This window comes from Homo sapiens, chromosome 12 (assembly GCF_000001405.40).
Source record: "Homo sapiens chromosome 12, GRCh38.p14 Primary Assembly".
Lineage (NCBI taxonomy): Eukaryota > Metazoa > Chordata > Mammalia > Primates > Hominidae > Homo > Homo sapiens.
In genome coordinates, this window is record NC_000012.12 from 121447604 (window position 1) to 121472305 (window position 24702).

Consider the following 24702-nt stretch of genomic DNA (forward strand, 5'->3'; position numbering starts at 1 on the left):
CATTCTTCTTATTTTTCTTTTGGAAAATGTAATTATTTCTCATAAAAATATGTTATTTCTTTTTTCTTATTTATTGTTGAGACGGTGTCTTGCTCTGTTGCCCAGTCTGGAGTGCAGTGACATGATCTCGGCTCACTGCAACCTCTGTCTGCCTCCTGGGTTCAAGCGATTCTCCCACCTCAGCCTCCCGAGTAGCTGGGACTACAGGCGTGCTGGGTAATTTTTGTATTTTTAGTAGAGATGGGGTTTCACCATGTTGGCCAGGCTTGTCTCAAACTCCTGACCTCGAGTGATCCTCCCACCTTAGCCTCCCAAAGTGTTGTGATTGCAGGCATTAGCCACCGCGCCCGGCCAAAATATGTTATTTCTATTAACACGTCATGGGTTTTCTTGTTATTTTAAGATAAATTTAAAATCTAAAAAAAAATTTCTTGGCCAGGAGTGATAGCACATGCCTGCAATCCCAGCACTTTGGGAGGCCAAGGCAGGCGGATTGCCTGAGCCCAGGAGTTTGAGACTAGCCTGGGCAACGTGGCAAAACCCTGTCTTTACAAAAAAATACAAAAATTAGTTGAGTGTAGTGGTGAATGCCTGTAGTCCCAGCTGCTCGGGAGACTGAGGTGGGAGGACTGCTTGAGCCCAGGAGGTAGAGGCTGCAGTGAGCCACGAGCACACCACTGCACTCCAGCCTGAGCGACACAGCAAGACTCTGTCTCAAAAAAAAAAAAAAAAAAAAAAAAAATCAGTTTTAATTTTTTTTTTTAGCTAAAGTCCTCTCACATCAAACTCAGTTTAAATTTCTAATACGGTCAATATTAATAAATATATAGCCTACATAAAAGAAAAGCTCTTTAGGGTCCTCATAATTTTGAAGAGCATGAAGGGGTCCCTGAGACCACGAAGTGTGAGAACTTGATGCACCCGGCTGTGAGCCCCCTGAGGCCAGGGCAGGTCAGCCTCATCCCGCCCAGTGCACCTGCAGACAGAGGAAGCACGCAGCCAACCTTTATTATGCTGCTCAGAGGAGCTTCAAGCAGGCTGGGATATACACGCCATTGGTAAGTGAAAAAGACTTGATTAAATGGCGCAAATGTTTGAATTCTAATAAACAGGACACAGAAGGCAAGGCAGTCATCGTTCCTTCCACAAATACCAAACACACATCTGCCACGGCCTGAAACAAGGTCCTGGGGCCACAGGAGCGAGGGAGATGGCTGCTCCCCATGAGCTATTTGGGAAGACAAAGACATTAAGTCGCTGAAATCCAAAGAAAACATGGAAAAATCATGTTCAAGAGTTCTCAGAAGCAGCAGAGGCTGATTTCTGGAGGACTTGGAGGACAGGGTGGAGAGAAGCCAAGTGGGCAAGGCCGCGGGGCCTCAAGGTGAATGAGGACAGAGCAGGCCAGGCCAAAGGGGACGTCTGGGGACCAGACTGCAGCGGGGGGCACAGGGTGAAGCACGGCCCACACGGCAAGAAGAGGGTCTGTGGTGGGGTGGGGCAGATGGCAGAACGGGCTCTGAGCCAGGTGGCAGGATGGGAGGCGGTGCCAGAGGCAAATCTCCTGCAGGGGCTGGCAGGGGGCTTGGGGCGCATGTGGGGGGGCAGACTGCAGGACACCAGCATGACATCGGCATGACACTGGCAGGGACATGGTGGAGAGGGGAGGCTACGGAGGCAGCCCCAGCGACGGAGCAAAGGGAGGGTCCAGAAAAGGAAGATAGGTGGGGCTGCGTATGTCACAGGTGGGTAACACGTGAGAAGTGCCCTGGCAGAGCAGAAGGGCTAGGAGAAGAGTAAGAAGGACCCCAAGGGTCAGGCCAAGCCTGCATCTGCCATCAGTTCCAGAAGCCACGTCAAGCTGAAGAGAGTAGGAGACGTAGAAAAATGGGGTTTCCTTCAACCAGCATGCGCTGTGCCAGGCACCAGAGCTGCAAAGATAAGATGGCACCCGAGACAGGTTTCCTATAACTGGGCCCAGCACACGGGGGCTGGGAGATAATAATGCCAAAGAGAAAAAGACAGTCGCGGGTTCATTACTGGCACACATTGGGTTTTAGGTGACACCGTTCTAAAAACCAACAGTTGCTATAGACAAGCTCTTTTAAATTCTATAGGATCCAATGGGTCACATGGACCCAGTCTCCAAAAAATGCACATCCATGCATGCACATAGACAAAAATGCATTTAATTTCAGGATGGCTCACAAATTCCCCGAAATCCATGGAAATGTCCTGGGGTTCGGGTACCAATTAAAAGCACAAGCAGTGGAACTGAACTTCTGCAGCAAAAGAAAGAACTGACAGAGTGAAAAGGCAATCTACAGGATGGAAGAAAATCCTTGCTAACCAGAGACCTGATAAGGGTTAATATCCAAAACATATCTAGAACTCCTCTAACTCAGCAACAAAAACCCCCAAAAGAAAGCCGATCTAGGCCAGATGCACTGTAATCCCAGCACTTTGGGAGGCCAAGGCGGGAGGGTGATCACCTGAGGTCAGGGGTTTGAGACCAGCCTAGACAATAGAGTGAAACCCTGCCTCTACCAAAAATACAAAAATTAGCTGGGTGTGGAGGTATGTGCCTGTAACTCCAGCTACTTGGGAGGCTGAGGTAGGATAATTTCTTGAACCCAGGAGGCAGAAGTTGCAGTGAGCCGAGACTGCGCCACTGCACTCCAGCCTGGGCAAAAGAATGAGACTCTGTCTCAAAAAAAAAAAAGAAAGAAAAAAAAGAAAAGAAAAAAGTAAATCAGTTTAAAAACGGGCTAAGGACTCAGACATTTCTCCAAAGAAGACAGACAAACAGCCAATAAGCACTTGAGAAGATGCTCAACATCACTAAGAATTAGGGAAAAGTAAATCAAAACTACAGTGAGACGTCACCTCATACAAATTAGGATGGCCACTAAAAACAAACTGAAAGCCCATAACATAACAGATGTTGGTGGGGACACAGAGAAACAGGAACCTTCATCGGGTGCGGTGGCTCACGCCTGTAATCCCAGCACTTTGGGAGGCCGAGGCGGGTGGATCACGAGGTCAGGAGATCCAGACCATCCTAGCCAACATGGTGAAACCCCGTCTCTACTAAAAATGCAAAAAAATTAGCCAGGCGTGGTGGCGGGCACTGGTAGTCCCAGCTACTCTGGAGGCTGAGGCAGGAAAAATGGCATGAACCCAGGAGGTGGAGCTTGCAGTGAGCCGAGATCGTGCCACTGCACTCCAGCCTGGGTGACAGAGCAAGACTCCATCAAAAAAAAAAAAGAGGAAGAAACAGGAACTTTCATGCACCCGTGGTGGGAATGTAAAACGGGATGGCCGCGGTGGCCAACAGTACAGAGGTTCCTCAAAAAGTTAAAAATAGAATCGTCATATGACCCAGCAAGCCCACTTCTGGGCATGGAGTTGACCCTTACACAGCACAGGATTGAACTGTGTGGGTCCGCTTATATGCCGATTTTTTTTCAACAAAAGTTATACTGAGTGTGCCTGCGTCTCCTGCCCCCCCCTTCTACCTCCTCCATCTCTTCTGCCTCTGCCACCTCTGAGACAGCAAGACCAACCCCTCCTCCTCTGCCTACACAATGTGAAGATGATGAGCATGAAGACCTTTATGATGATCCACTTCCACTTAATGAATGATAAATATATTTTCCTTATGATCTTCTTAATATTTTCTTTTCTCTAGCTTATTTTATTGTGAGAATACAGTATATAATACATATAAGATATGTGTTAATGGACTGTTTTTGTTACTGGTAAGGCTTCTGGTCAACAATAGGGCTAACAGTAGTTAAGTTTTAGGGGAGTCAAAAGTTACATGCAGATTTTCAACTGCACAGAGGTCAGATGGTGCCCCAACCCTTGTGTTGTTCAAGGGTCAATTGTATATCCAGAAGAATTCAAAACATGATCTCAAAGAGATATCTGCACACCCATATTCACTGCAGCACTATTCACAACAGGCAAGAGGTGAAAGCAATCCATATGTCCATCAACAGATGAATGGATAAAGAAAAGTTGAGCCAGGCGTGGTGGCTCACGCCTGTAATCCCAGCACTCTTGGAGGCCGAGGTGGGTAGATCACTTGAGGTCAGGAGTTCGAGACCAGCCTGGCCAACATGATGAAGCCCCGTCTGTACTAAAAATATAAAAATTAGCCAGATGTGGTGGCAGGTGCCTGTAATCCCAGCTACTCAGGAGACTGAGGCAGGAGAATCGCTTGAACCCAGGAGGCAGGGGTTGTTGTAAGCCAAGATTCCACTGCTGCACTCCAGCCTGGGCAACAGAGCAAGACTCCATCTCAGAAAAAAAAAAGAAAATTTGGTACAAATACACTTTCAGTATTAATCGGCCATAAAAAAAAAGGAAATTGTCATATGCTTCAACATGGATGAACCCTGAGGACTTTATGCTCAGGGCTATAAACAAGCCAATCCAATCACAGAAAGCCAATTACTGCATAATTCCACTTCTATGAGGTCCCGAGAGGAGTCAAGCTCTTAGAAACTGAAAGTGGAATGGTGGTTGCCCGGGCTGAGGGAGGGGAAAGGGGAGTAGAGCTTCAGTGGGTATGGAGTTTCAGTTTTGCAAAATGAAAAAGTTCTAGGGATCAGCTTCCCAAAAACGTGCATATGGTAATACTACTGTACTGCATACTTAAAAATGATTAATGTATTTTTTTTACCACAATTTCAAAAAACAAAACACAAGAAATATGCGTGGAAGGAGATGGCTGAGGTGTCTGGGCCTGCGGGGCATCGACAGCCAAGGAGGAAGGGCTCACCCTATGCCAGGCTGGGCCTGCAGATGAGCGCACCAGGGCCGAGGAATCCCGTCCCTCCAGCCGAGCCTGCTTTTCCACGGGGACTGGGAGATGACTCCTCCACAGGGAGGACCGCCGGCCCCCGGGGAGCAGCGCCCTGAGGAAGGCAGAGCATGTGGGTGTGTACAAGGGAATTCAAGGGCAAACCCCGCGACCTCGCCCCGTTGCGAAGTCCATGTCCACTGCCCTGTCTGGGGACGAGACCAGCGGCGCGGGGCCACTGCCGGAGCTGAGGCCAGGCGGTGTGGAGGGGCGGGCCAGGCTCTCCCGGGCGCGGCTCCTCAGTACCATAAATCACTCCTTGTTGGGGGCAGCCCCCTGAGATGGGGCGCTGACCTTCCACCCAGACTTCTGACTCTGAAGGCAGGGCCGGAAGGAAGGAAGGAAGGGCCCAGAACCGTCACCCAGAACCGTAATGTTGGCAACGGGGTCACAGACAGGACAGGCTGCCTGTCATCTTTAATGGCAGCAACTTCAAAGTACCTGAGCACCCTGGGAGGGAAGGAGCAGGAGGCCTGAGCCTGCGAAGCGGCCAGCGCCTTCCCGTCCACAGGAAGAGCTCTCGGGGAGTCCACAGCCCCGGCTTCTCTGTGTGCGGAGGGGCGGCCAGAGCGAGCAGCGGTCAGACACGCGGGCCGGCACGCAGGGGCCTGAATCGAGCGCAGGGCTGGGCGGGGGCCGCACTCACCGCGATGCACTGCCGCATGATGCAGCTCTGCTTCATGCGCCCGGGGCCCCCGAACTTCTTCATGTCCTTGCAGAAGTGGCACTCTCCGCACTCGGTCCGCAGGCAGGCCTCGCACTTGCGGCATCGCGTCCGGCGCCGCCGAGCTCCTGCCGTTGTCCGGTTGGCGGCCAACTTCACCGCGGAGGCCGGGCCCAGCTTCCCCTTGGGCCGACCCACAGCCCGGTTCTGCAGGGGAACAGACACGACTGGTCAGATGGGGAGACTGCAGGCACGGCCAGACCCCCGGAAAGGGTGTTAGGGAGCAAACTGTGTACCCCCAGAAAGACACGATGGGGGCTCTAAACCCCATTCCTCAGAGTGTGATCTTTATTTGGAGATGGGGGCTTTGCAGAGACCGTCAGGTTAAACGAGGTAATTCAGGTGAACGCTAATCCAGTATGACTGGTGTCCTTACGAAAGGGGAACTTTTGGACACAGAGACAGACACGCACGTAGAGAACGTGTGTGAAGACACAGGCCTTCCACAGACTGGAGCCCTGTCTACAAGCCAAGAAGTGCCAAGGATGGCAGCACATACCAGGAGCTGGAGGCGCGGGGAAGGACCCTCCCCTAGAGCCCGCAGAGCCAGCCCGGCCCGCCAGCCCACACCTTGACTTCAGACTCCTGGCCTCCAGAACCGGGAGAGAAGAAAGGCCGGTTGTTTTAAGCCACCCGTTATGGCAGCCCTAGGAGAGGACGACAGAGGGCGCGTGCTTCTTGCCGCAGCACACAGCTCGAGACCTTCCATGGCTGCACCCACAGGCTCGGACCCTGCCCACCTTTCCCACCTCCGTCTGCTCCCCAAGAAAGACCGCAAGGGGCCACACAATCGGTCTCTGTTCCCCCAGCCCGGAAGGCCAACCCCACCCCCGCCCAAGCCACTTGGCTGATGCCCACTCATTCCGTCTGGTCAGTTTACAGGCTGCTTTCTTCTGGAAGCCCCTACTGCCCACCTGCACTGGGTTCAGGGCCCCTCTGGGAGATCCTGTTAGAGCGCTCATGATGGTAATCATCTGTTCCTTCCCTTTGAGACGGGGCACAGGAGGGCACTCACCACAGGTGTCTTGTGCACCACTGCACCTCTCTACGAGCCAGCCTGGCATGCAGAATGCACTCAACAAACCAGAGCCACCCCAGGGAGGATGGGATAGTAACCTTTAGGTCCCTGACTACTCAGATCTTCCCTAGATGGGCTCCAAATGCTCCCTTCCCTGGGACTCACAGAAGAGAGAGACAGTAGGTGGACAGAGAGCTGGGCTAGTAGCTAAGCCAGGAAAATGGGACAGCCACAGCCCCTGCCCTCTGGTTCCCAGCCCCAGAGCCTCCTGCAGACCCATGATCTACGGGGGAGCCCTAAGCTAGCTGCTGAGGACACTGTCCACAGAGGTCCCCTGTCCACCTGGGACCTGTAGTGGGAGGGACCAGGATGGGAGAGCTTTTCTTGTCTGTGGCATCTTTCTGGAGAGCCTGGGGTGGCTGAGAAATGGTGAAGTCCCTGTCAGGGAGACACGTGGTCACCCTGGAAACCAGCTGACCTAACGGCATCTAACGCCTAAAGCCCCTTTTCAGCTAACTGAACACCCTTTGGTCCAGAGTCCCACCCTCTTCATTTCAGTGACTTGTCATACTTGAATCCCCAAACAAAACCCCATACTTTTGGGAGCACACAGACCCAGAAGAGCTGTTACTATTCATACACTCCAATGGAGAAGAAGGTCCACATCACAGGGACCCCCTCTCACAACACACACAACTCCCTGCACCCTAGGGGCTTCCTAGAAACTTCCAACTGCATAGGAAGAAAAACAGCCCCCCTTTCTCCTCAAATACAGCCTCGCCACCATCAACTTTCTTCTCCAGTGCAGTGGTCCCTGTAGAAAGCCCGCAGCCTCACGTGCCACCCACTTTGCTGTCAACACCTAAGCAGACCCCTCCCTCCGATTCACCTTCCCACAGCATTCAAGGAGCTTCCAGGCCCCCATCAGCCCGAGTGGCCCCTCAGGAAGCACTGGAGCTCTGGGCCTCTACCCTGCTCAACCTGCTGTGAACCCCAAAGAGGAAAGGGAGGTGCTCCCCGGCTCTACCACCCTCATCTCCCACTGGTCTTCCCCAGCTGCTCAGGACCCTCAGTCATGCCTGCCCTCTGCTCTGGGGCAGCCCAGCAGAAGGCCTTGTCACAGGGAGGGCAAGCCCTGGACTGCAGGGCCACCCACAGGCAAGCTGGCCACCACCAGTCACCTGGGTAAAGGGACCATCCAAAGCAGCAAAGGGCGCCAGGAACGGTGGCTCACGCCTATAAGCCCAGCATGCTGGGGTCTGAGGTGGGAGGATCACTTGAGGTCAGGAGTTCAACATCAGCCTGGGCAACATAGTGAGACCTACAAAAAATTTTTAAAATTAGCCAGGTGTAGTGGTGTGCACCTGCAGACCCAGCTACTCAGGAGGCTGAGGTGGGAGGATTGCTTGAGCCCAGGAATTTGAGGTGGCAGTGAGCTGTGATCATCCACTGTACTCCAGCCTAGGAGACAGAGCAAGACCCTGTCTCAAAAAACAAAAAAGGAAGAAATCCATCCTTACAATGAGGGCCGGATGCCCCCAACATACTCGCATAGTCCCACTGCGATTAGCACCTTTCGGGGGCCAAGTCCACCACACACTACACACATCCATCCGAGTCACGTCTGGCTGCCCACGTGAGAAGTAAAACGAGATCAGTTTTCAGAGCTTCCTGGATTTGAGAATGGCACAGAGCAGACTGTGAACCTGAAGCTGAGCAGCCAACAGAGCAGCCAAGGCCAGGCAGGCAGCGCTAAGGACCGAGATGACGGCCATGCCGCGTGAGGGCAGGGATTCCCTGAGCACCCCCATCTGCGGGCACCGTGGCCATCACTTTACTGATGATATTACCTAACTTTCCCAATAACAGCACTGCAGAGGATGCCTTCCTGAAGCCAGTAATTTGCCTGTGGTCATGGAACCAGCATGATGCGTGGACTCCGGTGCTGTGCACTGAACACACTAAACCACAGCAAATGCATGTGCGAAGTGCAGCGAGGGGCCCACAGACCCACTGGGATGGCCACATGCTCCTGGAAGGGCTTCCCAGCTAGTGCCACGATGCCTCAGTGCGAAGGGTGCCAACAAGAGGTGCAGAGAAGCACGGCTACTTCCAGAGAAGCGGAAATCCAAAAACGTTTCTCCCTGTCATCACAGCCTACAATAGCACTTTCTGATTCTACCCCTCCAAACGACAGGTGCCCTGTTACCAGCTCACTCTTCAAATACCTGGAACACAGGCAATGCTATGGGCGGCGTCTAAGGCCTCCAGTCAGGTGTGAAGTGGCCAGCGTGTGGGCCACCTCCCAGGACAAAACCAGATCCCCGGAGCTGGAGAGTCTAAAGACGAGCTTCTCTGGTAAAAAACTGAAAAAATTCCAGGAGTTCAAAGGAACGCCAGGTATCAATAGCCACTGAGTGCCTCTGGCCTCCCTGCCCCGAGGACAGTGTCTGGGCAAGTAAAAACGTTGGGCCAATCCAGTCTGAGTCTCGAAGCTCCTATGTCACTGCAAAACAAGCCCATTTGCCTGCACCAACCAAAGCACCTTCTCATCCAGCCTATGGAAAACAACCTGCCTGGACCTCAACAGCAGTTGAGACATCTGGGAAAATCACAGAGCACATACCAGACAACATCCTGAAAGAAGAGGTGTGAGAAGCTGCAGTCTCTCGAGACCTTGATGAGGCCCTGTCTAGCCGCTGCCAAATCAGGCCAGGAAGGTTTCTGCTGCCGGCAGTGGCCCCCGCCTGGCTCATCAAGAGTTGGTTCAACAACAGAGCAACGCAGGATCCTAATGAAGCCCACTGAAAAACCCACAGGTAAGACAGACCTCGGAGGCCTCCATTAAAAAGTCCAACTGGGACTCTGAAGACCCAACCAGGAAACGTGATGGCAGAATACAGAAAACAGTGACACAAAAAGGGACAAATGGAATAAAAAGGAAGGTGAGTCTGCCAGAGCTCTCTCCTTTCAGCACACAGCTTTCTCTGTCCTGATATCTTTTGGGTGCTACCCAAAGTTTCAAACGCCAATTCTTTTCTTTTCTTTTCTTTTCTTTTTTTTTGAGATAGAGTCTCACTGTGTCACCCAGGCCGGAGTGCAGTGGCGTCATCTTGGCTCACTATAACCTCTGGCTCCCGGGTTCAAGCAATTCTTGTGCTTCAGCCTCCCGAATAGCTGGAATTACAGGTGTGCGCCACCAAGCCCAGCTAAGTTTTATATTTTTAGTAGAGATAGCATTTCGTCATGTTGGCCAGGCTGGTCTCAAACTCCCGGCCTCAAGTGATTTGCCCGCCTCAGCCTCCTGAAGTGCTGGGGTTACAGGCATGAGTCACTGTGCCTGGCCTCAAACACCAATTCTAACTTCCACTCTGTCCTACCCCTGTCCCAGCAAAGGAAGTGACGGCATCCCCAGACATTCATTTACGAACCAGCATCCCCAACACCAAGGCGACTTGTTGATTTTATCAGCCCAGGAACCATATCCTCAGCCCACTATGAAAGGTTAGGAAGATCGGAAACATACACACACACACACACACACACACACACACACACACAAATATCTTGGTATTCCTACACCTCTTCTCCATCAGCAACTCAAGAGCATTGTCCTTTAAGTGAATGCTATCAAGGTTTATTCATTCATCCCACCAATATTTGAGTTCCTCTGGTCTACCAGATATTATCCACCAGAAAATGCATGGACAGAACCTCCTCAATCCCTCAGCTCTAAATTATAGGGATTAAAATTACTTAGATTAACCTAAATTAAAGGAAAGACATCCGTGTTCATGAATTGGAAGATTTAATATTGTTAAGATCGGTTATACTCCCCAAAGTGATCAACAGACTCAACGCGACCCCAAGCAAAATCCCAACTGGGGCTGGGCACAGTGGCTCACCCCTATAATCTCAGCACTTTGGGAGGCCAAGATAGGCAGATCGCTTGAGCTCAGGAGTTCAAGACCAGCCTGGCCAACAAAGCAAGATTCCAAAAAAATAAAAAGACTAGCTGAGTGTGCTGTCACACACCTGTAGTCCGAGCTACTCAGGAGGCTGAAGCTGGAGAATCACTTGAGCACAGGAAGCAGAGGTTGCACTGAGCTGAGATCAAGCCACTGCATCCAACCTGGACGACAGAATAAAACCTTGTCTCAAAAACAAAACAAGAATTAAAAAAATAAAAACAAAACAAAAACTCAACTGACTTTTCTGCAGAAATGGACACACTATCCTAAAATTCATGAAAATGCAAAAGACCTGGAATGGCCAAAACAATCTTAAAAAAATAGGGGGATGGGGGGTGGGGGCGGTGACTCACGCCTATAATCCCAGCACTTTGGGAGGCTGAGGCAGGTGGATCCCTTGAGGTCACAAGTTCAAGACCAGCCTGTCCAACATGGTGAAACCCCATCCCTACTAAAAATACAAAATTAGCCAGGCATGGTGGCACGTGCCTGTAATCCCAGCTACTTGGGAGGCTGAGGCAGGAGAATCACTTGAACCCAGTGGGTGGAGGTTACAGTGAGCCAAGATCATGACATTGCACTCCAGCCTGGGCAACAAGAGTGAAACTCCATCTAAAAAGGCTGGGCAAGGTGGCTCACTCCTGTAATCCCAGCACTTTGGGAGGCCAAGGTGGGCAGATCACAAGATCAACAGATTGAGACCATCCTGCTCAACCTGGTGAAACCCTGTCTCTACTAAAAATACAAAAATTAGCTGGTCATGGTGGCACACACCTGTAGTCCCAGCTACTCAGGAGGCTGAGGCAGGAGATTCACTTGAACCCGGGAGGCAGAGGTTGTAGTGAGCCAAGATCACACCACTGCACTCCAGCCTGGCAACAGAGCGAGACTCTGCCTCAAAAAAAAAAAAAAAAAAGACACACACTTTCTGATTTCAAAACTCACTACAAAGCTACAATAAACAAGGCTGTGATGGTAGTGGCATAAAGACAGACCTATAGATCAATGAAACAGAATTGAGAGTCCAGAAATAAAGTCATATTTTGACCAAATGATTTTTAATAAGGATGCCAAGGCAATTCAGTTGGGTAAAGAATGGTCTTTTCAACGTATGGTGCTGGGACGAATAGCTATCCACAAGCAAAAGAACAAAGATAGACCCCTACCTCACACCACATATACAAATTAACTCAAAAATGGATCAAAGACCTAAACACACAGCTAAAATTATAAACCTCTTAGAAGAAAACACAAGTGTAAATCTTTATGACTTTGAATTAGGCAAGGGTTTCTCTGATATGACACCAAAAGCACAGGTGTCAAAAAAAAGATAAATTCGACTTCATCAAAATTAAAAACTTTTGCTGGGCATGGTGGCTCACGCCTGTGATCCCAGCAGTTTGGGAGGCCAAGGCGGGAGGATCACCTGAGGTTGGGAGTTGGAGACCAGCCTCACAAGCATGGAGAAACCCCATCTCTACTAAAAATACAAAATTAGCCAGGTGTGGTTGCACATGCCTGTAATCCCAGCTACTCAGGAGGCTGAGGCAAGAGAATCGCTTGAACCCAGGAGGCAGAGGTTGCAGTGAGCCAAGATCACACCATTGCACTCCAGCCTGGGCAACAAGAGTGAAACTCCATCTCAGAAAAAAAAAAAAAAACTTTGGTGCTTTAAAGGGCACTATCATGTGCAAAGGCCCACAGAATGGGAGAAAATATTTGTAAATCATGTATCTAGCAAGCAGTTAGTACTTAGAATATACAAAGAACTCCGACAACTCAATAATAAAGAGATGAATAGGTAATTTTTAAATGGGCAAAGGATTTAAATAGCTATTTCTCCAAAAAAGATCTACAAATGGCCAGTAAGCACATGAAAAGATGCTTAACATCACTAACTAATAAAGTATGTAATTTGCACTGGAGACTCATTCATTAACCCCCTAATTCACAAATCCACCAACCCAAGTGTTTCCTGGCTGTGAATTATGTATCTGATTTGATGCTAAGTGCTAGAACTACAGAAATGAGTAAAATGTGTCCCCTAGTCTGAAAGGCATTACACTCTGGAAAAAGAAAGACATGCAACCACATAAATGCAATGCAACATCATTATGATGACATTAAAAACTAACATCTAGGTTGAGGCAGGAGAATCACTTAAACCAGGAGGTGGAGGTTCCAGTAAGCCAAGATCGTGCCCCTGCACTCCAGTGGCAGAGCTGTTTTTGAGACAGGGTCTCGCTCTGTCACCCAGGCTGGAGTGCAGTGGCGTGATCTCAGCTAACCGCAGCCTCGACTTCCCAGGGCTCAGGTGATCCTCCCACGTCAGCCTCCTTAGTAGCCGAGATACAGGCATGTGCCACCACACCAGCTAATTTTTATTTTCTTTTTCTTTTTTTTGAGCGACGGAGTCCCACTATGTCACACAGGCTGGTCTCGATCTTCTGGGTTCAAGTGACCCGACCGACTTGGCCTCCCAAAGTGCTAGGATTACAGGTGTGAGCCATCGAACCTGGCCAAAAGGTAACACTTACTTAAGTGCTAGTCATTCATCAATATCTGTATCAACAATCTTTTTTGTTTTTCTGGTAGGGATGGGGTCTTGCTATGTAACCCAGGCTGGTCTTGGACTCCTAGCCTCAAGCAATCCTACCACCTCAGGCTCCCAAAGCTTTAGGATTACCGGCGTGAACCACCACACTCTGTATCAATAATCTATGAGGAAGGAATTACTATTATCTCCATCTACAAGTGAGGAAACTGAGACATGGCACAGTTAAGTCATCCGCCCGATGTCATACTATCAATGAATGAGAAAGCTGAGATACAGACCCAGGCAGTGGCTCTAAAGCCTGGACCCTGGCATGCTAACCCAGAAGAGATGCCTCATATCATGGATAAGGGAGGCTGGAAAAAGCGCCCCAGAACATAGGAGGTGGTGACTAAGGTGGGTCTTAGAGGGAGAACAGGACCCTGCGTGCCAGGGGTGGGAGTGGGGTTACGAAGTGGATATTCTAGGCAGAAGGAAGAACAAGAGAGAGATGTGAAACTGCGTGACACATTCAAGGAACTGCAAATAGCTCGACACAGCTGCTGGAAAACAGCTCTGAAGTGGCTGGAGCCTCATCCTGCAGGGCCTCATCTACCACAGTAGGGAACTGGACCCATCACAGTAAGTTAAAGGCTTCACAACATGACTGTATTCTGGCAACAGTGAGGGGAGTGGATATTTTTGGGGCAGTGGGCAAGACAAAAGACAGGGAGATCAGCTGAAGATGATGAAGGCAGGAGCAGAAGGAATGGAAGGAATGAAGAGGAGGGGATGATTCAGGAGATGCTCTAGAAGCAGACCCAGTTTTAGAAGACCCGGTGATTGGCTGAACATGGGGTATGCAAGCAGACTTCTGGAGGACTTTGAGGTTTCCGACTTGAGCAACAGAAGAACAAGGGGGCTCGGGAGAGGGGAAGAAACAAGGACTGCTGTGGGCATGCGGAATCCAAGGGGCCCATGGGACAGCCAAGGAAGGTGTTGCCCAGCAAGCAGGTGGAACCAGAGCTAAGGTACACACCTGGGAACCGACACTGCATAGGTGCTCAAACTAGTTAAGTCCGTGAGGATGTCCAGGGGGAATGGAAGAGTGAAAAGAGAACTCCAACAGTCCCTTCAAGACTGAAAACATTCAACCGGCAGGTGAGGAAAACCAACCTGCTGAGAAATGGCCAGAAAGGCCAGACAAGCAGTAGGAGGCTGTGGCATCACAAGAGCCAGGCAAGTTTCAAGAAGGGAGCAGTTACAAGTTTCAACTGTCAAGAGAAGTGAGAAAAACAGTAAAATGTAGCTATATGTTTTTACAATTAAGACAGTCCCAAGTTTTCTGCCAAAGTACTCCAAATAACATTACACGGACAGCCCCACAAGGGAAGGCCACAGGCCCCCCGATTTCTTTGTGCATGCTAATGTTGTACTGTATCGCACGACACAGCTGTATTTATCTCAGTATTATTCCTGTCCTCAAATCTGCAAGCATAATGGACAGCCCAGGAAAAGCTGGATTTTACCAGAGTGTTGCAGGCCCCTTAACACACGCCTGTAGACTCCAGGCTCTGGGTTTTTTAATATAGAGAGAGTAAGGAGCAAGAGACTAAAAACACAAGAACTACCAGAAAGCCCAGGGGATGGGAGGACCTCTGAAGAATCTGAGGAAAGCTAAAGACCTCTTCCTCCAAAAATGTATATAGGCACAAAGTAACAAAACTTTTGCATACATTTTCAAGAAGGATCAGAGGCCCCTGTCTTAAAATTTCACTTTTTTTTTTTTTTTGAGACGGAGTCTCGTACTGTTGCCTGGGCTAGAGTGCAGTGGCACAATCTCAGCTCACTGCAACCTCTGCCTCCCAGGTTCAAGCGATTCTCTTACCTCAGCCTCCCTAGTAGCTGGGATTACAGGCATCTGCCCCATGCCCAGCTAATTTTTTGTATTTTTAGTAGAGACGGGGTTTCACCATGTTGGCCAGGCTGGTCTCAAACTCCTGACCTTGTGATTCGCCCGTCTCAGCCTCCCAAAGTGTTGGGATTTCAGGCGTGAGCCACCGCGCCCGGCTGGCAAAATTTCACTGTTTAAGAAGCTATAGGCCAGGTGTGGTAGCTCACACCTGTAATGCCAGCACTTTGGGAGGCTGAGGCAGCAGATCGTTTGAGCCCAGGAGTTCGAGCCCAGCCTGGGCAACACAGCAAAATTGCATCTCTACAAAAAACACAAAAATTAGCCAGGTGTGATGGCACCTCTGCACTCCAGCCTGTGCAACAAAGTGAGACCCTGCCTCAGCAAAAAAAAAAAAAAAAGAGGCCAGGCGTGGTGGCTCACGCCTATAATCCCAGCACTTTGGGAGGCCAAGGCGGGTGGATCACAAGGTCAGGAGTTCGAGACCAGCCTGACCAACATGGTGAAACCCCGTCTCTACTAAAAATACAAAAATTAGCCAGCCATGGTGGCGCACACCTGTAGTCCTAGCCACTCAGGAGGCTGAGGCAGGAAAAATCGCTTGAACCCAGGAAGCAGAGATTGCAGTGAGCTGAGATCGCGTCACTGCACTCCAGCCTGGACAACAGAGCGAGACTCCGTCTCAAAAAAAAAAAAAGCACTAAGACAAATACCTAATGCATGTGGGGCTTAAAACCTAGATGATGGGTTGATAGGTACAGCAAACCACCATGCCACATGTATACCTATATAACAAGCCTGCACGTTCTGCACATGTATCCGAGAACTTAAAGTAAAATAAAATAGCTATAATTGGTAACAATGGTTCTATGACCACATAAATTTCTGAGAGATTTTCTTCTCCATAATTTCCTGATTTTTTCAACAAGCTGTAGCCATTTTTATTTTTATTTAAAAAAATTTTTTTGAGAAAGGGTCTTACTCTGTCACCCAAGCTGGAATGCAATGGGGCCATCACTACTCACTGCAGCTTCGAACTCCTGCGCTCAAGCAATTCTCCCACCTCAGCCTCCGAGTAGCTGGGACTACAGGTGCATGACACCATACCTGGCTAATTTTTGTACTTTTTTGTAGATGGGATTTCACCATGTTGCCCAGGCTGGTCCCAAACACCCGAGCTCAAGCCATCCACCTGCCTCAGCCTCCCATAAGTGCTGGGATAACCGGCATGAGCCACTGTACCCAGCCTGTAGTCATTTTTATAGAAAAAATAATAGAAGCTGTTTTCACATCAAGAGAAAAAAAAAAACTGGCCAGGCGCAGTGGCTCATGCCTGTAATCCCAACACTTTGGAAAGCCAAGACAGGAGGATCATTGAGGCCAGAAGTTCAAGACCAGCCTGGGCAACATATCAAGACCCCATCTCTATATAAATAAAAAATAAAAAAATTAGTAGCTGAGTGTGGTGATGCGTGCCTGTAGTCCTGGCTACTCAGGAGGCTGAGGCAGGAGGATCGCTTGAGCCCAGGAGTTCAAGACTGCAATGAGTTATAATCATATCACTGTACTCCAGCCTGCGTGACAGAGCAGGACCCTGACTCAAAACAAAAAACAAGATGGAACAAGAATTCTTCTAAAAGCCCTCCTTTAGGAGACACCTCTTCAACTTGGAAAGCAAGCTGAAGAATTTTCTGACACATTTTGTACTAGAGAAGCAAATGAAGTCTGTGGGAGAAGTTCCCGCCAAGGGTGCACACCGGCAAAGAGCACACAAGGGGTCTCCCGCCAACATGGCTCGCTCACCGCGGGCCCATCCCCTGTCTCCTGTCCCACAGGCTGTGACACTTGGGGAAACCCAGGCTGCTGAGGGAAGGCATGGGGCAGACAGGCCAGCGCAGCACGACAGGTCTCAGGTGGGGATGAGAAGTACACAGGCTCGGAAGGTGGAGCAGCCAAAACTCTGATGGGGTGGGCGTGAGGGCTACACCAACTACAGAGATGGACGGGGCAGCAGCAGCCTCCCACCAGGGCCTCCCTCCGACGGGTCCTTTCATCCAGCAGGTGGGCAAGTCTACTTGTTCATCCACACTCCAGGACTTGGCAACCTCTCCTCATGAAGGATCTTCTCCTTTGGTGCCAAACCCATTCAGCAGGGTGGGACAGAGGTACAGAGAAACTTCGAGAAGAGCTGGGTCTGGAGCCTGCAAGCTGGAGACTCCAGAGACCCTCGCTGTGCTTTGGAAGATGCAAATGCTTTCGAGGTCCTCAGAGGAAGCCACTCTTCTCAGGCTCAGGCTGAGAAAACTGTTGAGGAAAGCATGCAGGGAGGCAAGGAGAGTGTCCCCCAACTACGGGGTACCTTAGCTGACAAACACCTTCTCTGTTGGGACTACGAGACAAGCCTGCCCCCCACTGCCCTGGCTTAGATGTCGTCTCCCTCAGTGCACTGAGTGGGAAAAAAAAATCATCTTAAAGTTAACAATACAACCTCAAGTCGTTGCTAAGGACTCCACAAGTGCCACAATCGGCTTGACCAATGTGAGAAGGAGGAAGAAAAAATTTGGCTACAGTGAATACAGGTTTGTTTGTTTTTGTTTTTGTTTTTGTTTTTTTGAGACAGAGTCTCACTCTCGTCGCTCAGGCTGGAGTGCAGTGGCACGATCTCGGCTCATTGCAACCGCAACCTCCGCCTCCTGGGTTCAAGCGATTCTCCTGCCTCAGCCTCCTGATTAGCTGGGATTAAAGGCACCGGCCACCACGCCGGGCTCACTTTTGTATTTTTAGTAGAGACAGGGTTTCACCATGTTGGCCAGGCTGGTCTCGAACTCCTGAGCTCAAGTGATCCACCCGCGTTGGCCTCCCAAAGTGCTGGGATTACAGGTGTGAGCCACCGCGCACGGCCTACAGGTCCTCTCTTAACAGAAGTTTCTCTCAGGAGTGGCAGGACCCGAAAACATGTTTTTAAGCCCAGAGACACAATAAGTCTTGCAGTGTCAAAGATTGTATCTACAGGCCATAGGGTATGACCAAATTTAAAAAACAAACAAAAATCAGCTAACAGGAACCCCAATCCTGAAACACCAAAGCTCAGTGGAGACATCAAAGCCCAGCTGACACAGAATACTGACATCCTACGAATGAATGACCAAATGCCCCAGAAATGGCAAACTGTCGCAGGATTAAGTAGACTCCAAACTGAAATGAAAATGTTCAAAGCAGGAATTGAAGTGTGATCTATGGAACAAGACTTTGAGAGCCATTCACACGTAGGGCTACTGACTTAATAAAAGTTCAAGCCAAAAGCACTTGAATCGTCCCTGGGTTAATCCAATCCGAAAGAGCCGTGAGATTCCTAACACCTCAAAACGCACACGTGCCTGAAAATTCTCCAACAAAGCTGAGAAAATAAAAATCAACTGCCTGTTAGGTAAAACCACTTAATACTACGTATAATACGATTTAAGCGCAGCCTATAGAGCACTTCCTCAATTGCACCTAATGATGAAAAAAAAAAAAAGTTACCACATTTTGGCTGGGTCATTCCACAACACCTTTATCCCACCAGGATTATAAATAAGCGTTTTATGCACCCAAGTCCGTCCAATGCCACATGCTAACTCAATCCATCCCATTCTTAATTCCTCGGACAGGTCTACCTGGCCTGCGTCCTGTTCCAAGTATTATTTTGCAGATTATACTTCGTAAAACCTCAACTTTTTTCGCCTTCTTCCTAAACACGAACCTTCCCGGAGTAAATTCACGCCGTAAACACACCCAGGGCTTTGTTTTACACACAGATTTCTCCCCCTGGTCCCGAGAGAGGTTGCTTTTCCTTCTGAATCCACCGAGGCCAACTCCTGCCATCTGGGGTCGCGGCTTCCTCCGCCGCCGCCGCCGCTGCCGCCGTGCGGATTCGCCCGGGTTCCGGGTGGCCCGCGCCGGCCCGCGGCTCGCACCCCTTCCTGTCTCCGTCTGCCCACGGCGGGCGGCGGGCGCGCGGCGCCCAGACAAAAGCTCGGGCCGTCGGGCCCACGGGCCCCGGGAGCGCTCCAGCCCCGAAGCCGAGGGTCCTGGCACAACTTTGCGAACGCAGAGGCAGGAGGTGCCGGCGCCCGCGGGGTCCGGGTGCTCCCGGGGCAGCCGGCACGCGCGTGGGCCGCGGGCGAGGGCGCCGGGGGAGGGCGCGGCGCGCCCCGCGGCCGCCGGCAACTTGCCCCGGGCCGTGGCCGGCGCCCGGCAGGCCCGCCCGACGGCGAGGCCCGGCGGCCCACATTGTCCCCGCGGTGCCCGATGGCCCCCAGTGCGCTCGCTCGGCCGCACACGCCCCCTGCCCGGGCCGGCTGCGGGCCTGCCGCGCTCCTCTACGCCCCGCTCGGGCCCGGCCCCGGCCGCCCCGCCGGCAGCGGCAGCAAAACTTTCTCCTCATCGCGGCGGCGGCGGCGTCGCGGCCGCCCTCGGCGCGTCAGACAGGCGGTCGGGAGGTCGTGCGGCGGGTCCCTCCCTCAGCCCCACCCCGGGCCGCCGACCTGGTCCGGCTCCGATTCATAGTCGTCGTCCTCGGCGCTCACGGACATGGCCATGGCTCATGGTGGGCCCAGGCTCGCGCGCGCTGACATGGCTGGAGCGGCGCCGCCGCCGCCGCCCGCCCGGAGCAGGCTCGGCTCGCCCTGGCTCGGGCTCGGGCTCGGGCTCGGGCTCCCGCTGCCGCGAGGAGGGAGCCGCGCCGCGCGCCTCGCACGCCCGCGCTGGAGGGGGCGGGGAGGGGCCGGCGGGGGAGGGCCGGGGCGCCATGCATATGCATGAGGCGAGCCAGGAAGGGGCTGGCCCCCCGGGCGGGCGGGCCAATGGCGCGGCCGCGGCGCTGGGGCCGCACACAAAGGGAGCCCGGCCTGCGGTGACACGGGGGCGGGCCGCCGAGGGCGGTCCCTCGCGGCCGGAGCGCGGGGACTGGGGCTGCGTGGGGGCGTGCCCCGCGCCCCGCCCGGCCCGGCCTGGCCCGCGCGCCGCGGGATGCACATGGGTGGCTGCACGCCGCCACCGCTGCAACAGGAAATGCGCGCCCGGCCTGGGGTGGGGTCCTTTGTGTGGTCCCGTGGGGCGTCTCGCGGAAGCCCGGGGGCGCCCGGGCCGTGGGGGACGACTCTGCACCCGACGCCAGGAGCGGGTCCCCAGGTCCCTTGCAGCAGGCACACGGGCTGCCGGGTTTGCACTCGCTGCAGGACCAGGACCTGAAGCGCACGAACCCGGGAACCCCCGACCCAGAGCCTGCAGGACCGCTGGCCTGGATAAGCTCTGAGAGCCCAGTCTCCCCCGACGCGGGCGGTTGGGCTGGGCCGGCCTCCTGGCGCTGCACCTCCGGCACTCGGGTTCGCCTTTGCAGGGTCAAGTAGTGCAGGCGGGAGTTCCACTCGAGTCGCCTGACGGGGGCTGTCAGAACGCCCTGACTCTACCCTGAGGTGGGCGCCCCCTCCCTTGGACAGGTACCGCCTTCTGAGTTGACCTCCGAAAGGTGGAGGACGTCGCAGGCCAGAACCCAGCTCTCCTAGGAGACTGGCTGCCCCTTAGGCTGGCTGGGGAGGTGTGGGTTTCTGAATTCTTAAGCTGCAAAGGTTCCTAGTGCTCACTCCAGCTGCAGCCCACTCCTGAAGAAAAGTGTTGCTAGAAATCCAGATAGATCTTCATTCATTCAAAAAAAAAGTCTATCGGGCACTTAAGCCAGCAGCCTCTCTGAAAGAGCTCATGACCATGAGCTAGAACGACCAAAGCTGTTATAAGCATCAAAACCAAAGCTAAACACAAGCTAAGGAGGACTTGGCATACATATCATCCACCTGTCCAAGGTAACACTAAATATGCACACCTGTACCTGTTCAGTTTCTCCATCTATACAAGGGGAAGGATTTACCAAGGGATGGATAACCTTCTGTAAAAAGATCAGAGGCTTTCCCAAGAATAAGCCATGAAATCAGGTGATCAGCTCTGCAATGGCCATCTGTTAGTCACGTCCAGGCCACTGGCCACGAAATCCAGTGAGAACAGAAGGGATGGGCAGGCTGGTCCTGGCCTGGCCTTTCAAAGAAGGCAGGCTGTGTGCCGGAGACCTTGTAAACAAAACTCAGGAGGCTTCTAGCAGAGTCGGCAAAAGTGAATAAGCAGGGATGTCAGTTTTACTGAGTGGATTTTAAAGTCTGAAATTTACACACCCACTATAGAAAAAATCCCAGTCGACTTGCTCTTTGCCGAAACGTATCTGTTCTGAGTTTCCTTCCTTACTCTCCTTTTTTTGAGACAGACTCTCACTCTGTCGCCCAGGCTGGAGTGCAGTGGATCTCGGCTCACTGCAACCTCCACCTCCTGGGTTCAATCGATTCGTGTGCCTCAGCCTCCAGAGTAGCTGGGATTACAGGTGGGCGCTACCACGCCCAGCTAATTTTTGTATTTTTAGTAAAGAGGGGGGTCTCACCATGTTGGCCAGGCTGGTCTGGAGCTCCTAGCCTCAAGTGATCCACCCACCTCAGCCTCCCAAAGTGCTGGGATTACAGGCATGAGCCACCATGCCCGGCCATCACTCCCCTCTTATTTTTCAGAATCTTCTCAAAGTTGCAACAGAAACAACAAGCAAAAGAATACACCCTAACCCCCCCACCCCACCCCACATCACTCCATTCCCAAAGGTCTCAGCTTTTTAAAAGCTACCTTGATGGCTGGGCGCGGTGGCTCACGCCTGTAATCCCAGCACTTTTGGGAGGCTGAGGAGGGTGAATCACCTGAGGTCAAGAATTCAAGACCAGCCTGGCCAACATGGTGAAACCCAGTGTCTACTAAAAATACAAAAATTAGCTCGGTGTGGTGGTGCGCACCTGTAATCCCAGCTACGTGGGGGTGCTGAGGCAGGAGAATCACTTAAACCTGGGAGGCAGAGGTTGCAGTGGGCCAAGATTGTGCCACTGCACTCCAGCCTGGGCGACAGAGCGAGACTCCATCTCAAAAAAAAAAAAAAAGGCTACCTTGTTGTCTGAAGTTTGTATCTGACCTCTTGCTGGCCACTCTACTCAGTAGGAGCCTCTAAAGAAAGAGGAGGGGCTCATAACATGCCAATCATGCTTCCACTTCATTGTGATTGGTCAAGCCTACAGGGGTATAGAGTCACCCAAATAACATAATACATCAAGAGAAATGTCTAGGCCAGGCACGGTGGCTCACACCTGTAATCCCAGCACTTTGGGAGACTGAGGAGGGTGGATTGCTTGAGGTTAGGAGTTCAAGACTAGCCTGGCCAACAGAGTGAAGCCCCGTCTCTACTAAAAATACAAAAATTAACAGGTCATGGTAGCACACACCTGTGATCCCAGCTGCTCAGGAGGCTGAGGCACAAGAATCACTTGAACCCAGCAGGCAGAGGTTGCAGTGGGCGGAGATCGTGCCACTGCCCTCCAGCCTGGGCAACAGAGTGATATTCTGTCTCAAAAAAAAAAAAAAAGGAGAGAGAGAGAGATGTCTGTAAGCAGGAATTCTTCTCAAAGGTTTTTCCCATTACCAATCAGGAGCAAAAGAATTATCTTGAGGTTGATTTCCTTTGAGGACTCTCAAAAGCTCACTTCTGAATTTAAGGAAGTAAAAAAACACAATTCTCAACTATCATGGCTCAAAGAGCGGAAAGGAAAAGTGCGGACAAACAAAAAAGTTGCCGCTAACACAAACTCCCTTCCTCCCTTTATATCATTTCAGAGATAGAAGGGGGTCTCTCCTGACCCCTTCACTTCACAGGTGAGGAAATGAAGGCCCAAAGAAAATTAGGGAGTGGCTTTCAAGACCAGAGTCTCTTATATAATACCATCCAGAGAAAGACCTCCCTCCAAGGGCCCAGGCAATAACAGCAGCTTTAAGCATGTTCAAAGGGCCAGACCAGTGGTAAGTCTGCTGTAGACATGATCTCACTTATTCCTTTAAACAGCCCCATAAGGTGGGTACTTGACAGATGAGGAGACTGAGGCGCATTGCCGCGAGGAAGGGAAAGGACCTGGATCTGACTCTGTAGGCAACTGGAGCCTGGGCTCTCAACTGCACCGCTCCAATGCTTCATGCCAGAGACGAGGAGGATGCCAAATGAGGCTGGTGACAAACTCAGGCTGAAGCAGAAGAAAATTAAGTGTCCCTTACTACATGCTATTAATTCTGTATTCTCAGTTCAAATCCAATTCCAAGGTGGGTAGGTATGGTTTGGATAGCCAGGTTGCTGTCTGATCTGGCAAGGGCCAACTGTGGAACCGGGAGGCCATGGTTAGGACATGATAACGTAGTGGGTTCCCTCCAAACACTAGGAAGGCCACTGTCCTGACACCTCTTACAAATTCCTCTTTTGACACTTGCAAAATGCTTCTTCTCTATTTCCCTAAAGCAAATTTCCTATAGTTAACTGGTGCACACAATTATCCAATATCTGTTTTGTATTAATAGTGTGCTGGACTATATATACAATACAAATTATGCCAGCCCTTGCCCAACAGAATTGCCAACTTAAAATTTAGCATGTACACTGTGCTTTTGGGTGGCCCTCCCTCCCTCCGTCTGACCTCATCTTCTAGCGACCCTAAAAACTGAATCCTCCCCCAATTCCACTGGGCCAAGCCTTAACTTATATTCTTAGAAAGAGGTCCCCAAAGCTGATGCCACCCAGCCAGTTGGATCCAGAACTTTCACCATGTGATGTGGAAATAAACAAAAACAGATGGAAGCCGAGTCCTCCTCCATCACAATTGTCACTCATGTCTCTGCTTTCTCTCTGGGTGTCGTGTACATTTCTGATCTGCCTATCAGAGAGTGAGAACCCAGAAATGACCCCTGGCTGCTAAGAGGTTTTGCCCAGACTCAGCCGTGTCAGGCAATGTGCAAAGGTGAAGGGAGGAGGGAAAACAGGAAGACGATGACACTTGGAGTTAGTCACCAGCCTCTCCATGCCCACTTCTAGGAATGGGCATGGGGAGGGCAGACTGGGCAGCAGCTGTCCCCGTGGACTCTGGTTTACCTAAGCGGAGGGGCTCTCCAGCGTGAAACCCCTTTCCTTGTGCCCATGTCACAAAGGCCACAGCTAAAGCTTGGGAACATCATTTTCCAGAGGCTCAGGGCAGAGAAACAGAATGGATCCTTTTAATGTTGAGACCAATGACGGGCTGGTACCCTCCTGGACCAATGGGCATCATTTGTAAACATGCCCCTAAGAAGGGAACAGAAGTGACCCATGCCTGTAATCCCAGGCTTTGGGCGTGGATCACTTGAGGTCAGGAGTTCGAGACCAACCTGGCCAACATGGTGAGACTCCGTCTCTATTAAAAATACAAAAAATTAGCCGGGCATGGTGACGCGTGCCTATAATCCCAGCTACTCGGGAGGCTGGGGCAGGAGAATCGCTTGAGCCTGGGAGGCAGAGGTTTCAGTGAGCCAAGATCATGCCACTGCACTCCACCCTGGGCAACAGAGCAACACCCTGTCTCAAAAAAAAGTAACAGAGCAGGAGGCCTGCATAGGGTTGCTTCCTACACAAGTAATATGCCTAACAAGCAATTGAGAATGCGCGCTTCAGTTATTTTACTATTATTTTACCATTTGTCTCTGCTCTTCAGGAGACTTGCCCCCCTTAACGGCAAAAGCAGAAGGTCTTTTGGAGAGTTATTTTT

At 51.4% G+C, this 24702-nt stretch overlaps 1 protein-coding gene across 51 annotated transcripts in view, besides 6 other annotated features; it reads right to left on the reverse strand.

Annotated features, from left to right (window-relative positions):
- The window catches only part of KDM2B (lysine demethylase 2B), a 173819-nt gene that overhangs the window by 39143 nt on the left and 109974 nt on the right, over nucleotides 1-24702 (reverse strand). For 46 of the 51 annotated variants that reach the window (XR_007063140.1, XM_047429682.1, XM_047429681.1 and 43 more), the window contains one exon: nucleotides 5517-5741. Coding sequence is in view for 50 of the 51 variants with exons in the window: in XM_047429682.1 (XP_047285638.1) it covers nucleotides 5517-5741 (225 nt within the window). In the remaining variant the exon portion in view is untranslated. Of the gene's footprint in view, nucleotides 1-5516; nucleotides 5742-19554; nucleotides 19776-24702 lie in introns of those variants that run through there. The other 5 variants (XM_047429723.1, XM_047429722.1, XM_047429721.1 and 2 more) reach the window with 1 other exon arrangement.
- Nucleotides 974-1474: an enhancer, noted in NCBI's record as "H3K4me1 hESC enhancer chr12:121886380-121886880 (GRCh37/hg19 assembly coordinates)". NCBI's record gives its function as "activates a minimal SCP1, AML or CMV promoter by ChIP-STARR-seq in naive and primed H9 embryonic stem cells {active_cell/tissue: H9 hESC(naive and primed)}" and the evidence as "EXISTENCE:reporter gene assay evidence [ECO:0000049][PMID:30033119]".
- Nucleotides 1475-1975: an enhancer, noted in NCBI's record as "H3K4me1 hESC enhancer chr12:121886881-121887381 (GRCh37/hg19 assembly coordinates)". NCBI's record gives its function as "activates a minimal SCP1, AML or CMV promoter by ChIP-STARR-seq in primed H9 embryonic stem cells {active_cell/tissue: H9 hESC(primed)}" and the evidence as "EXISTENCE:reporter gene assay evidence [ECO:0000049][PMID:30033119]".
- Nucleotides 4507-5321: an enhancer, noted in NCBI's record as "H3K27ac-H3K4me1 hESC enhancer chr12:121889913-121890727 (GRCh37/hg19 assembly coordinates)". NCBI's record gives its function as "activates a minimal SCP1, AML or CMV promoter by ChIP-STARR-seq in primed H9 embryonic stem cells {active_cell/tissue: H9 hESC(primed)}" and the evidence as "EXISTENCE:reporter gene assay evidence [ECO:0000049][PMID:30033119]".
- Nucleotides 5322-6135: an enhancer, noted in NCBI's record as "H3K27ac-H3K4me1 hESC enhancer chr12:121890728-121891541 (GRCh37/hg19 assembly coordinates)". NCBI's record gives its function as "activates a minimal SCP1, AML or CMV promoter by ChIP-STARR-seq in primed H9 embryonic stem cells {active_cell/tissue: H9 hESC(primed)}" and the evidence as "EXISTENCE:reporter gene assay evidence [ECO:0000049][PMID:30033119]".
- Nucleotides 19064-19113: a silencer, noted in NCBI's record as "silent region_4973". NCBI's record gives its function as "represses an Ori minimal core promoter by ATAC-STARR-seq in GM12878 lymphoblastoid cells {active_cell/tissue: GM12878}" and the evidence as "EXISTENCE:reporter gene assay evidence [ECO:0000049][PMID:35858748]".
- Nucleotides 19394-20203: a silencer, noted in NCBI's record as "silent region_4974". NCBI's record gives its function as "represses an Ori minimal core promoter by ATAC-STARR-seq in GM12878 lymphoblastoid cells {active_cell/tissue: GM12878}" and the evidence as "EXISTENCE:reporter gene assay evidence [ECO:0000049][PMID:35858748]".